This window comes from Homo sapiens, chromosome 5 (assembly GCF_000001405.40).
Source record: "Homo sapiens chromosome 5, GRCh38.p14 Primary Assembly".
NCBI lineage: Eukaryota > Metazoa > Chordata > Mammalia > Primates > Hominidae > Homo > Homo sapiens.
In genome coordinates, this window is record NC_000005.10 from 38,021,740 (window position 1) to 38,037,503 (window position 15,764).

At 39.6% G+C, this 15,764-nt stretch overlaps 1 long non-coding RNA gene across 1 annotated transcript in view; it reads left to right on the forward strand.

Moving 5' to 3' along the window:
* The first annotated feature begins 3,957 nt into the window (after positions 1–3,957).
* LINC02107 (long intergenic non-protein coding RNA 2107) overlaps positions 3,958–15,764 on the forward strand; it is a 158,236-nt gene continuing 146,429 nt past the window's right edge. The window contains exons 1-2 of the long non-coding RNA NR_147009.1: positions 3,958–4,020; positions 7,148–7,317. This is a non-coding gene — a long non-coding RNA (long intergenic non-protein coding RNA 2107). The remainder of the gene's footprint in view (positions 4,021–7,147; positions 7,318–15,764) is intronic.

The following is a 15,764-nucleotide window of genomic DNA, read 5'->3' on the forward strand; positions in this document are numbered from 1 at the left end:
TCCTTCTTCCTTTCTATTCTCCTTCCCCTTCCTTCTCCTCTATCTCTTCTACTTCTTATCTTTCCTTTCTTTGATAAAAGAATGGTTGAGAGTGAATTGTCAAGACAAAGCCATAGAGTATGATTCAATCAATGCTAACCACCCTCAAATAAAACGCTATTTACTAATCTCCTAGATTAAATGAACAAAGAAACAAACAAAAAAACCCAACCTTGGAAAAAGAAGGTATGTAGCAAAGATATAAATAGGCATCTACCTAAGATTATAACATTCTGACTTCTTAAAGGCATTCTTATGAAGAAAACATGAGCTTGGATGACATGATGATGAAGTAGACAAGATTTATATCTACTTTATTCCTACATCCCCTCAATTTTGAGTCCAGATCTGAGACTCCCATGGGTATAAAAATGTGCAGGGGAGTAATCTAGCTTCCCAAAATTCAAAAAACACAATAGCCAATCTAGCATGACATCTTTCCTAACTTTCCTTAAGAGTCTAGACATGGTCTCATAGGAGTGACACCAGTTGTTATAGGCCAGAGGGCAAAACCCCATTTGGATTTTATTGCTAAGATGCCTCAGGACAGAATTTGTTCTGGTCAGGCTGAAATAAGAAAAGGAATTAATATTAAGGAGTTGGAAGTGTGAAACTGAGCTCGCGTCTAAGGAACACAAATACATTCCAGAGAGACTGAAAGATGCTAATTTTCTCATGAAATGTGGCGTGGGACCTATCCCCTTTTCAGCTAGGTTTATCATATAGAAGTAGGTGTGTGGCGGGGGTTGGGGGGGTGTATGTGTTGTCTTTTCTAGAAACCTCTTTCTTGTTTTTTTGAGGTTAATTAAAACCATATTTGATAATATGAAAATAGCTCTAACCATGATGGTTTTCATCAATTCAGGGCCTTTCAAGTATTCTCCTGGCATTCTGAGACTAAAGGTGTCATGATCACCCTAAGCCATTTGGAAATTGTCATGGCAAATTGTGCAGTAAGTACTTCCTTGTGAATTTATGAATCTCATCAGATTTCGGAATGTGCTGATCTCAGAGGTGAGGGCAGGGATCCGAGCCTGACTGCTTCACTGCTCATCCGTGGCTTCCTTTTATCTTCCTTTCCAGTGCAGAGCTCCAAAGAGTTTTTCAAAGCCCATTAGACTGCCCGATGACATTCTTAACAGAAGAAGGAACAGTGTTTGTTTAGTTGAATTAGGGGAAGTCTCCTGTGGCCAGTGAAGTTTTATTGAGCCATTTCTAGAAGAACTAAAAAAATCAAGTGGGCTTCTTTGTTTTGTGCTTTATTGTTTATTTACATTTGCTTGAAAAGGTAATCTGCACAGGTTTGATGTCAGCTGGGAAGTGGGACACCATTCGTAAGACAGACAGGAGGACTCTGGGGGAGAAAATATTTGGATAGACAGACCACTTGGTTGAAATGGAAAGAGGGAGTCAGAGAATTTCATTATGTCAGTAATGGGCTTTAGTGGCACTTTCTGAGTGTATAATGTGTTGGGTAGTGAAGGTTTGCTGGGGGGTCGAAGAAGCAATTGCCAGCAAAAGCAAGATGTGCCAGATGGAAAAAAAAAAAAAACATAGGGAGAAGATTAGTTAGCTTTATCAATAAGGAAAAGTTGGGATAGAACAAAAGCACAATAGCACTGTATCACATAGCCAAAATTATCATAGAGGTATAGATGTGTGTGTGCACATGTGTGTGTGTGGGTGAGTGCATGTATGCATGTGTGCAAATGCGTATTCACTATATATGTGTGTGTGTGTGTGTGTGTTGAACCTAACTTACTGAATACTTGCCATGCACCGGGCACTGTTCTGGAGTGGTTCAAATCTCATGACTCTTTGTCCTCCGAGTGGCACTTTGCTTTAGGTAAACATGTTTGAGCCTCAGGTGCAGGATTTCCCTTGCTTGCCTTCAGGGGAATTTAAAGAAATAATAAAGCAGAAAGTCTACAACTCTACCTGGTATGGGATTTAATGAAACTACTCTCATCGATCTCATTTTATAGAAACACAGAGAAGTTAAGTTTGTCCAAAGTCACATGGTTAGTAAGTGGAATTGGTAGGATTTGCCCCAGAAAGTGCGGGGCCAGAACAGTGCTGCTTTGCTGCCATAGTAGCACTTTCCCTCTCTACAGGCACTCCTTAGTTTTCTCTGTTTGTCAATATGCCAAAAGTGCACGTAAAATGATGTTCGTGGAAGTATAATTTATATAGCACATTATTGGAAAATACCTGAATGTTCCACTAGAGGGAATTGGTTAAATACATTTTGGTATGTTCGTGTGAGAGGGCACTATACAGCTGTTAAAAATAATATTCTCAAAGAATATATGTGACTACTAGGCTTAACTAGGTTATGTTACATGGAAAAAGCAGGCAGCAAATCTGTATGTATAATTTGATGCTAATTTTGTTTTTTAAAACTACTGTGAAGGGAAAAATGGAGACAATCTAACTGTATATGAGAAGAATGAGTAATAAACTGTGGCTTAGTCATTCAATGGAATACTACATCTAGTTCAACTGAATGAAAATAATCTCCATGGATCAACTTGGGTAAGTCTTAAAACATAATGCTGACTGAAAAAAGCAAGGTACAAAAGAATACATATGGCATTGTATCACTTATGCAAAAATCTAAAATGTACAAAAGTAATATACATTTTATGAATCTAATTGCATAGTAAAGGTCAGGTGCAGTGGCTCACACCTGTAGTCCCAGAACTTTGGGGGTCCGAGGTGGGCGGATCACTTGAGGCCAGGAGTTTGAGACCAGCCTGGTCAACATGGCAAAACCCCATCTCTACTAAAAATATTAAAAAATTACCCAGGCAGGGTGGCCCACGGCTGTAAGCCCAGCTACTCAGGTGGCTGAGACAGGAGAATTGCTGGAACCCAGGAGGTGCAGGTTGCAGTGAGCCGAGATTACACCACTGCACTCCAGCCTGGGCAACAGAGTGAGACTCTCTCTCTCTCTCTCTATATATATATATATAGATAGATAGATAGATAGATAGATAGATAGATAGATAGAAACATTTTTGTACTTTTACTGTATATATATATATATGTATATATATATAACAGAATGAGACTGTCTCTGTATATATATATATATAGAAACGTTTTTGTACTTTTACTGTATATATATACAGTACTTTTTGTAATATATATACAGTATATATATTCGTATCTATATACAGTATATATATTCGTATCTATATATATACAGTATATATATTCGTATCTATATATATACAGTATATATATTTGTATCTATATATATACAGTAAAAGTACAAAAACGTTTCTATCTATATATATAGAGTAAAAGTACGGAAACATTCACAGGATCTATACACACCAGCTTTAGGATAGCACTTCTTCATTTCCTTTAGGAATGAGAAAGAATTAGATGAGTTTCAGCTGGATCCATTTTATTTCTAAAGGAGAGAACTGAGCAAATGTGGTAAAATGTTAACATTTGTTAAATCTGAGTGGCGCATCCCTAGGTTTCTTTTATACTGCTTTCTGTATGTTTGGAACATTTTATAATTAAAATTTGTCTGTGTGATATATAATAAGGGTACACACGTGGAAGAGGTTAGCGGGCATCAAAACATAAAGAGCGACTATGTTGGAAAAGTATAGTGCAAACTTATTTTCTTTAAGTTTTTCTGTATTTTTTAAATCTATATAGTAAGTGTGATATAAGAAATAAAAGCAAGACACGTCTTTTTAGGAAGCATCAATGTTGTAGGCAAAGAGTGCTGCAGTGGAATATGGAATCTGCTTCTATGTGACACTGGTTGATTCGCGTAGGCACTTTGTAGCAGTAGATACTTTGCAGCAGTTTCCTCACCTGCACGGTGGTTTTATGGGCCGAATGCTCACTAAACTGACTTATTCTTCCCGGTAACCTGCATACAGACCTCCCAGGCCCTGGCGTGAAGGTGGCACTGTGACTAGCTCTTGCCGATGGAATGGGAGGAGTCAGTTAGAAGTAAGTATGCCTGCTCTGACGTTTCTCTCTGCCTTCTGTCTGCTGTGTGGATGAAGTCTGGGGCATCCTGAAACCCTTTGTTGAGATGGGGGAGCCACAGCAGGGGAGGACCTGGATCCCCACGTATCACCACAGGTGTGACAGAGGCCCAACCAGAAACGTACCCCTTGAATTTTGTGAGAGCAAGAAGTAAACGTTTGGGCTTGTTTGTTATAGCAGGTAGACTACTCTGACCAATACAGGCTCCATCTGTCAGATCCCTTCAAGTTCTGATACTCTATGAATGCCAGAGGCCCTTGGTTTAAAGCTGTCTCTCCATTCATTTATCTCTTGATGAAGTTCACTTGTCTCAGGGACAGACTTATCTAAACCAGAAATTTGGACATGTCCAAAAGAAATAAACTGCTGTAATAACAAGTGAGTTGAAAAGATAAAGGACAGTAGCCAGAAGACCAGGGGAAAATCCAGAACTGAGTAAGTCTGGGCTGTACATGGCTTGAGACTAAGGACAAGAACTTGAACATTTTTTGATCTCTTTATAACCCCCCAGTCTTATATATTGTAATCACTTAATCAATACCTGTTGGATAAATGAATACATGTGTAGGAAGCTGCTATCAGTGATAACCACATACCTTGAAAAGCCACTGCTGCATAATTTCTAGAATTATTAACCTTTTAGTTTTGTGAAGGGGGTAAGAGCACATGATCTGGACTCGGAGGGGTCAGGCAGGCTGGGTGAGAATCCTGGCTCTGCCTCTTCCTTAGCCTTTCCAAGCCTGTTTTCTTAGGCATAAAATAGGGATAAAAATGCTATAAAGCCCATAGTCATTTTGAGGATTAAAGGAGTTAGGTAATGCAGGTGAAGCACAGGCCTGCCCCACAGTTGAGTAACTTGGATTTATGACATAAATTCACGGTGATCCTAAGTTAAATCAAGATAAGACTCTTGCTGGGCGCAGTGGCTCATGCCTGTAAACCCAGCACTTTGGGAGACTGAGACAGAAGGATTGTCTGAAGCCAGGAGTTTGAGACCATCCTGGGCAACATAGCGAGACCCTGTCTGTACAAAAAAAAATGTAAAAATTAATCAGGCATTATGGTGTGTACCTGTAATCCCAGCTACTTGGGAGGCTGAGGTGGGAGAATCACTTGAGCTCAGGAGTTTGAGGCTGCAGTGAGCTATGATTGTGCCACTGCACTCCAGCCAGGGTAACAAAGCAAGACCTCTGTCTCTAAAACAAAACAAAAACAAAAACAAAAACAAAAACAAAAACAAAAACAAAAAATATGACTCTCTACCTCTCCTTACCTAGTTCTCCCATAGGCACTATCTAAGTCAGCACAGGTGTTGGCCTTGACAAGATTAGCATTGCATTGGTAGAATGCTCCAAAATGGCCTCATTAAAGCATCATTACATCATACTTGCTGAAGTAATCAATGATTCTCATGGAACAAGAGCACAGGAGGTGAGAGAGCACTGTTTCCTAATGCAGACGGCCTTCAGGATCACTTCCTGGCTGAATGACCTAGAGAAGGGGACGCGAGTACACCCGTTTCATTTTCTCATCTCTGAAGTCGGGGGAGAACACCTGCCAGCCGTGCCGTTTATTGTGGGGGTGAAACCAGTGTTCCTGAAGCTCATGGCCTGGCACAGAAGGGTGCTCCTGGGTGTCATTTCTCCCTCTTCATGTCACCTCTTTGAAACCCAGCCCTAGTTGAAGCTCAGATGATATTTCTCTAGTTTTTATACAGAACACTGTGGTTTTGGTAAAATTCACATTTTGGGAAGCATTCCCACCACCTCCCCGTCTCCAACCTCCATTTACTTGAAGGGAAATGGAATCTATCTGGTTTTGATTCATTTACACTCCACTTGTTAGCATTGGTTTGTAAGCATCAGCCAACATCCGAGTAACTCTTGGAACCTTGTTCTAAAGGCTGCATTTTCAAGTCTAGGAAGTTTATTTTTCTTTCTTCTTTTTAAAAAAATGCTAAAAGGAAACTGGACTTCAGTACTAGTTTGAGTTTGGGTTTATTTTCTGTGTATGACTGGCTTCCAACAAATTTGGTTAAAAAATACACTTTGCCATTGCAGGTTTTACAATTTCAGCTCAATTGAATTTACTCTTGAAAAAAGTTTTCATATTCTAACCCAAGGGAAAGCTTTTGTGTTCTGTTGCTGTTTTGCTGGATCATGGAATTGTTAACTTTTCAAGATTTTTGGTTTGCCACTCAAATGAAAAAAAAAAAAAATGAAGACCTTTACTGCGTATTTGCATGGTATTGGCTTTCTGTTGACCATTTGCATGGTATTGGCTTTCTGTTGACCTTATCTTTATTTGATTTGGTAGAGGGTTTTGGTAGAAATTGGTAAGAAGTTTCATTCATGAAGACAGACTTGGGAAATTACATGTAATTATCCAAGCCTATACTCAACAAGAGGAAAAACAGAAAGAAGTTGGATGCTTCCCTTGGAGTGGAGGGTTTCTCAGAGGTTTCTACTGAGCAGGACACTCACTCTCTACCGTATCATTTTACCCACCAGGCCTGTATAATAAACACAACCTTAAGACAGTGCAGTCTACTTTCCGTCGTGTAGTAATAGGCTTCATCTGCTATTTCTAGCTAACAATTGTTCATTGTTCATGTTGCCTCAAGGTTTAGAAACCGGAACTTCTCCCTGGTTCCCAGGAAATTGAAAACAAAGAAGGAGGTAATTTCCACGTGTATAGCAGCCACTCCATTTGCTAAAGGTCTCAAGTCGGTTATCTGTGTTTTTTAGATGAGTCTGTAACAGATTTGATTTTTGTGTAAATCTCAGACAGGAGATAAAGTCTTCTCTTGAATTTCCATTTAGGTTGTTTGTTTGAGGCTCAAATGAGCTTTCTGGACAGACTTGGTAAGTATTGTTAAGTTTGACTAAAGTACCCATTTGTGATTTCATAAGGGGATCAGTAAATCTTAATCTTCTAGTCCTCTACCTTGCTACTGTCTAGAGCCAGTGCATAAAATGTCACAGTGATAATTTTTACCTCCATCTTAATTATGAACATTTTAAGCTAAGGGAGCTAAGGGAGACAGACTCATAAGTATCAAATTGGTTTTCTTTGTTCCTATACCCAGATTTTCATATGGTCAAAATACCCATGGAATATATGAGTGGCAGCAGTAAACAATCCTTGAAGTTCTTGCTTGTTTAACTTGACTGTTGGTGATGCCCAATGAGGCCCTGTCTGCTCCAAGCAAATTACATAAAAAAGATGTGAATAAAAACTCATCAAATACTAACAGAGGTGAGATCTGGGAGGAGTGGAATTACATTTATGGTCTGTTTGTTTTCTTTTTCTTACTTTTCTGAATTTTTATACAGTGAGTATATGTGTGTATGTGTGTGTGTATTTTAAGTTTTTGTTTACAAAAGAGATAAGTACATATGTTTGTTTTTTTAAAAAATCAAGCTATAAAGAAGTGTATAGAGTAAAATACATAAGTTTTTTTTATTCATCCTCTAACCACACTCTGCTTTCTAGAGATCATAATTGGTTTGTGTGTAAATTTCCAGACCTTTTCTCTGTTTTACCTGTGTAATTGTTAACATCATATTGAAAGCATGAGATTCCATACAGTACAGGTAGAAAACAGTTTCCCCTTGCTGTCTCTATAACTATAATATGCAGATTCATTCTCACACTCTTGGACAATCATGTAGAATAACAACTCTTCCAGTCCCTTCAAGTCCCACCCATCACCCCAGGCACTCTGGCTCTTGGTGCATCTAGTGGGTTCCCGCGGCTTGTGGGCAGCCGCTGACAGATGCAGGTGCTGGCTGGGGAGAGTAAAAGCTTGCCCTCCACCCAGTAGGTGTGTGTGTGTGAATGTGATCAAGAGATAGGAAGGTTATGGGTGGAGTGTTGTCAACCTCTCTACAGGTGGGGCCCTTTTCAAGACCATCCTGGCTGGCTCCCTTGCATATGGCCTAAGGGCAAGACTGATGCACTCTGGCTCCTGCTGCTGGGAGATGTGCAGTCTGCTGCACTGCAGCTCTCTCAGTACCTGGGCCTGTCTGCTGCACTGCAGCTCTCTCAGTGCCTGGGCCTCCGCACGCAATTTGCAGCCTCTTGCTAGTAGACGATCTTTGGTCTTGAATCAAGTGCCAGTCTACACTTGGCAGACTCCAGCATTCAGGGAGATCTCCTTGAAACCTCTCTTACTTAGAAAGAGGTAAAGGTGGAAACACCACCACACCCTGAAAAATCATTCCAAAGGAATTCTTTCAGCATTTTCAGTTTCAGTCCTTTTATAGCCTTGAGGCGAGTGATGGGCTAATGGTTGCAGTTGTCTCCTTTGCAAGTCCTGTCTAGGTGGTCTAGAAACTCATTTTAAAATGTGAGACCACTAATTGCCTCTTGCTTTGTTCTGGGTCTTCTGGGGCCTTAGACAAAGCTGAAAAAGAGTCTCCTTTTCACATTTTGTTATAGACCTAGGTAAATCATTGTTTTTCCATAAGTTGGAACATATTAATATTCTGTAAGTTGCTGTCTTAATTGTCAATATATCAGTCTTTTCATATCGGAAGATGTTGAACTGTCTCATTCTTTTTAATGGCAGTGTATTGGGTAGATAAACTAGTCCATTGGGTAGGTAAACCAGAGTTTATGTAACCATTTCTCTTTTGATAGGCTAATTCTAATTTTTGGCTTTTACAAGTAATGCCACTATAAATAATTTTTAAATTCACATGAGTGTGTCTGTGTGTGTGTCTGTGTGTGTGTGTGTGTGTGTGTGTATATACATGAAGTGTAGCCAAAGGTAGGTACTAGAAAAATTTTGCTAGATACTACCAAAGTGACTCCAGGAGAGTTGTATGAATTTCTGCTTTCTTCAGCAGTGCTTAAGAGTGAACATTTCCCCACACCCTCACTACATATTTTCATTGTTTTTAATCTTTGCCGTTTTAGAGGCTAACAGTGACCTTGTTATTTTATTCTATTATTTTCTTGATTACTAATAAGGTGAGATATTTTTTCTCACTTTTGTCCATTTGTATCTGTGCTCCGTGAATTGCCTATCACATATCCTTCATCCAGTTTGGGGTTCTGGGTCTTTCTCAGCACCTTGTAGTTTAAATAAGGAGAAGATGTCAAAATAATGAAGCAAAGACAGATTGTAGTGACTTGCTGAGAACCCTGGTCCCACTCCATGGGGACAAGAAATGGTGGAAGTTCTACGGCTCAGACTATATCACTTGTTCCCCTCAAAACTGTTTGCAAGTCTGAATCTGAAACATAGGCTAAGTCTTCTCTTCCTTCAAACTGACAAATATACTTTTATTAATAAAATTTTAGCCAATTCCTTGTATTTGACTGAGAGCGTGTACAAACTTATTTTGAATCTGAAGCCTAATGGGTTGTATTTATGCCTCTTTGTCTCTTCTTAATTCTACACATATTAAAAATTACTAAAGCCATATTGGATTTCAAGAAAAAAACCAAAGGAGATTTTTCAGAGCACCTAGCAGCCATGGCAACATGCCTTTACAAGGGGCATGTACTCTGTTAAAAAATATTCCACTTACAGGTAATGACAGACATTTGCCAAACAGCCCCAAGCTAACCCAAGAAAGAATGGGCAGATGGTTTGAGGTGTGTCAGGAATAGGATTTACAAAATAAGATTATGGTTATGCTGGAAAGTAACAGCAATGGTTGTAAACAAATGGAACAGACCTACTTTTTGCCACGGGGCAGAGGAAGAAAGGGGTTTTGCATTGCTGCTTGTGAACTAGTGTTGGCTCACTTAGATACACAGCTCTCTGGGATTTTATGTATGTTGTTAGGCACTTGTATAAGACACATGACTGGGCCTCCAATTGAGTTTCTTCTGATCTGAAGCAGGGAAACTTCATTCTAGTTCTAGAAGCCCCTGCTGGTGTTGGCCCTGTCTTGGTTGTGTCTGGCAAATGAATCTGCATCCTTCTCCACGTGAATTTAACTATCATACCAGTTACGAACTATCAGTTGAGAAGACACTGGAGAGAACCAGCCTGTTTATTCCTGAATGTATATTTTTGACTGTGGGAATTAGAGTTATAACAGAGGAAGGTACAGAACACCTCCCAATATGATTGATCTATTTGCTCATCAGCCCAAATCCTGGACCTTGAAGTGGTAATGAATGAGTCTGCCTCTGCCCTGAATTTAAAAATCTCAGCTCTCTCTTTTCCAATTAAATTAAGATTTAGAAAGATAGTGCTTCCTCTCTTGGGAGAATTTGGGCATTTTCCAAGGGAAAAGAGAGAGGGTTGTCAAAGGGGATTTGTTGACAATGACATGAGAAGAAGGTGATGACAAAGAAAGACTGAAGGTCTCAGACTTTGGGATGGGGTCGAAGCTCTCTCACCTGGTTAGGAACTGTCACCATGCAAGTGAAGGGTGGAATTTGGCTTTTAGAATATATTTCCATTAGCTCTGGAGTTTGACAGCTAGCTCCCAATGGCAGCAAAGCATGTGAGGCCTCCAAGTTGGCAAGGCTGATCTCTGACTAATGGGGAAAAATTACCCAATTAGAATTAGCAATCTTGCATCACTGATCAGAATCCTTACATTACCCTTCATGTGGGGGAAAAGAACGAGACCTTCAAAAGGAGTTGGACTGGTTTTAACATGGCCTGTTGGTCACTGAGACAGGAAATATTTAACATGGATTAGATGCATTTGGAATTTGTTTGACTTGTCTTGAGCCTAAGGTTTCCAGGTATTAGTGGTATTGAGCACTCATTTAGTGCTTTTATGTATTTTTTAAAAAGTGCCCTCTCATTATTTCTAGGTAGATACAATTGGCCCTGTTTGATCTTGTTTATTTGTACTGGATTTTTCAACTTAACACTTTTGGAGAAGTGGAATCTCTTGAGTCTTAAGCTAGGAAAACCAGTCTTGGATGAGTGTCCCAAAAGAGAACGGTGTTCTTATCATGAATTGATCCCAGATGGATTCTGGAATGAAAGGATTAACAATGATGTAAAAATGGCCTAAGCACGTGATAGTATACAACAGTGAGTCTTTGAAAGTAGGCTTGGCCACAGCCACGTATGTCTTCAGAGCTGGAGGTTAGATACCATTTACTTTGGACTTTGGATGGCATATGGTGGTCGGAATGATTTAAAAATGTTAAATTAGGCTGTTGTTGAAAGATGGCATAATTTGAGAACAGATGCAGCAAAACGAAACAATGAACTTGCCTTCCTCATAAATGATGTCAGAAATGAGAAGCTGAGGGCCATAGGCCAGGACAGAGGAGACTTAGCTTCTTTATCTTGTCTTCTTAGATTGTGTTGAGAAATCCTGTTCTTGAGCATGTGCTACTGTGTCTTTTGGAAGACAATAATAGCTGGGCAGAGGAAAATGTTGTGGCTTTTTGACCCCTCTCTGACCAGGACAACAAATATAATGACAATAATAAAAATACCCAGAGCACATCTTTATTTATCTCTTCATGGGAAGTTGTAAGACTGAAAGGGGCTTTTATTTAGTGGGTTCTACCAGTGGGAAGATATTCAGACAACACTGAACCCACACATTTGACTCTGGACCAGAGGCCGCATGTCTGACCCCAGGTAACTGGGGTATCCTGAGCAGACTGCAGGGTTAGATGGAATGATCTCTTCTCTATTGTCTATTGTGATCTGTATACTTACAATGAATTTTTCAAGACTCAGGCTACAAAATGCATTGGCTAAGAAATGACTAGGAACCAAGGGCAGAATGGGGGTAAAGTGAATTCCAGCAAAATGCTGTCCCTTCAATGAGTCTTACTGGAAAGACCAAGTGGCCAACTGGAACACCTCCATGGGATACAGGAAGTATGGGGCTTTGGGAAAACACACACACACACACACACAGCCTACTTTAGCACAGACCCAGCCATTTGTGAATCCAGATTTCATGGGGGAGATTCTGAGTCTGAGACCACTGGTTCATTATGCTAACCAGGCTGCACACTAGAATAATCTGGGAATATTTTGGCAAAAAAAAAAAAAAAAGACCATTTTCCCAGACCCTATCCCAGACCAATTCAATCAGAATCTCAGGATTTCAGGGCACTGATAATTTTTTTTTTTTTTTCTGAGACAGAGTCTCACTCTGTCATCCAGGCTGGAGTGCAGGGGTGTGATCTCCACTCACTGCAACCTCCACCTCCTGGGTTCAAGTGATTCTCTTGCCTCAGCCTCCCGAGTAGCTGGGATTACAGGTGCATGCCACCATGTGTGGCTGATTTTTTTGTATTTTTAGTAGAGATGGGGTTTCACCATGTTAGCCAGGCTGGTCTGGAATTCCTGACCTCAAGTGATCCACCTGCCTAGGCCTCCCAAAGTGATGAGATTATAGGTGTGAGCCACTGATTATTTTTAAAGCTCCCAAAGTGATTTTAATATGTGACCAGGAGTGAGAACCATTTTCTTGGTTAGCAGTTTGCTGAGATGGTTACAGACAGTCTCTCTTCTCTTCCAGATTCACTAGAAATTGCCATTAGACTCTAGGCTTCCTGAGGGGTGGGATCACCTTACATAGCATTTGGTTTTCCACAGCATCTAATTTTCAAGGGATAATTGTGAATGTATTTGCATCAGAAAGAGGAACCTATTCATTGCTAGTAGTTTTCCGGGCTGTCAGTCAGGGCACCGGGTTCTATCATCAGCTTTCCCATTCATTAGGTAGAGGACCTAGGGGTAGGTCCAGATAAAACACAGGATGCCCAGCAAAAATTTGAATTTTAGATAAACAATCAATAATTGTTTTGTATGCATATGTCTCATGCAATGTTTGAATATGTATTTTTATTTGCTCAATCTGGCAACCCTACCCCGGGATATCTTCTTAGTCTGAGATTATTCACTTGTAAACTAAGGAATGCAGTTGTCAGAGATTAAACAATTTCATTTGAAAGGAAAAAAACTTAAAGAAATTATAATCACTTTTAAATAAGGTAAACTTAAATTGAAGTTTGACAAATTCCTTGTTTGCACTCCATTTAGGATTTCCGAAAGCAGGTTCTTAAATGGAGTGTCTAGGTATTCATAATGGTGACCAGACAGGCATACCCTAGAGTTATTATAAAAGCACTTATTTTTCTCCATTTAATGGTGTTTGTTTAGATTTTAAGGGAGTCTTTCAGGTTATTTGCTTAACACTGAAATGTGGTCTTTTCAGTTTCTTTAGAGATTGGAGACATTTGATTTTGAAAAGCCCCTCTCTCATCAATTAGTATCTTCATTTCTAAGCATACAAGAGGGTCTCTAGTTAGCTGAAGATATGTTTTTTGTCACAAGCAAATGGAAATTTTTTTTGTCTTTCAGACCCAAACTTAAATATTATTGTGTATGTGTGTCTGCACTTGTGTGTGTGACATTTGTCCCATTTTATTGAATGCCCCCATATGCAGCAGTTCTAGAGTTCTAAGACCTTATTACAAAGTATATGCATATATACAATTGTCCAGTGCTAAGATGAAGGGAATAGAGTCTCTCTGTAAATTAGAGAATCATTAAAATTGGAATTTCCAAATGAGTTTTTCCATGTCTGAAATTTCAGGGAATGGAATGAGTCAGATGTCCAAGGAAGGTAATTAGCAGTTTACCTATTCTTTTAAAAACAGTCACACAACTTTTGTAAGACAAAGACATTCCTAGTTTCACTCCACATTTAATAACCTGGGGTTAGGAAAGCTTTCAAGGACTGTTGGGGGTATGTTTTATATGGCTACCAGAGGGAAATTTTGGGACTTTTTAGACCAAAGTGAGTTATATAACTTGGTTGCTATGGTTTGAATATGATTGTTTCTACCAAAAACCATACTGAGGCTTGGTTCCCAATGTGGCAGTGTTGGGAGGTGGTGCCTTAAAGAGGTGATTAGGTCTTTAAGATGCATTAATGTCTTTCTCTGGAGATGGAGTTAGTTGTCTTGGGAATGGATTACTTCCCTCAAGAGCACATTGTTATAAATTGAGGTTGCCACATGTGTCTTGCCCTTTTTTCCATTCACCTGGTTCCCCTTCTATTTCTCTGCTATGTTTGAGGCAGCATGAGGCCCTCATCAGAAGCCACCAGATGCAGCTGCCAAATCTTGAACTTCTCCGCTTCTAGAACTGTGGGCTAAATAAACCTCTTTTTAAAAAATAAATTACCCTATCTCAGGTCTTCTTTTAGAACAACACAAAATGAACTAAAACAATGTCAACATTAAAAATGAGAGAAATGTTAAAATATATTTTAAAAATGACTTCTATAATACCTATGAGAATCTGCCATTTTCTGTTATTTTAAGAGCCAGGCCAAAGGAAAAATAAAGGTCACTGAATCCACTGGATTGGAATGCCTTTACTGTCCTCCAGTCTCTCTTCCCTTCCATATGCAGAAACATTTAGGGAGTGTGCACTTTTTGATTACTCTCTTCTTCCCAATTAGGACGCTTAATGGACAGTGTTATATATCCCAACCTCTTCCTTGCCGTTTCCCCTCCCTGATGTTTCTTGGGACCAGATACCACAATCTGGCATAGCCTGCTCTTGTGACTGGTTAACAAACCTCTCAAAATATTCTACTCCTTGCTGTTTGTTTCTACTTTAATACCTGCACTTCTAGCAAATTCTACTTCAAAAACATTATACAATACTATGTGCTAAGCCTTATGCCAAACATTTTATATGCATGATCTCATTTAATCTTCACAACAATCCTGTGAAGTAGATATAACTGTCTTCAATTAATGGATGGGAATTCTGTAGCCTATAGAAGTTGAATACCTTCCTCAAGGCCACACAGGTCCTAAATGTCACCAGTAGAATTTGAACCCAGGGCTCTGGAGCTTTTGATCACTATGTTATACTAAGATAAACTAGGGGCGATGGCTCATGCCTGCAATATCAGTAATTTGGGAGGCTGAGGCAGGGGGATTACTTGAGGCCAGGAGTTCGAGACCAGCCTGGACAACATAGTAAGACCTTGGTTTCTACAACAGTAACAACAAAATTATCCAGATATGGTGGTGTGTGGCTGTAATACCAGCTACTTGGGAGGCTGAGGTGGGAGGATCACTCAAGCTCAGGAGTTCGAGGCTGCAGTGAGCTGTAATTGTGCCACTGCACTCCAGCCTGGGCAACAGGTGAAACCCTGTCTACAAAAAACCCAAAACAAAACAAAACAAAACAAAACAAAATCCGAACTAAGATACTAGTTCTTTAATGAAAGTGACATCATTTATTAATGACTAGTGATTATTATTTTTATGCAACATTTATCGAGTACTTACTATGTGTCAGTCACTGTGATAGGTGCTTTATCGATCATCTCATTTGTAGCAGGGTTAAGCAGAATTATAACATATTCTACAGAATTATAATGTATTGATAAGGGATGAGACTCAAAATGTAACTTTTTCAAAGTCACACAGTTGAAAAAAAGCAGACCTAGGAGCCCAGACCATAAGTATTTATCTCAGACTTTTATGGTATTCCCTCTCTAACCCTCTTCTTTGAGAGTCTTCCAGTTATTTCCAGTTACAGTGTAGAAGAATTTCAATCCAAGAGGCTGTTCTTCCACCAATGGCTTTCTGTCTGCCTTTCATCTCCTCCAGGGCTGGAGTAGAATCATTGCAGAGGTATCTGCGCATGCTGTTAAATGTGGCACTAATGCTGCCTGTCCTGAAATAAACTTGGATTGGCTATCCAAGATGGCATTAGCTACCCT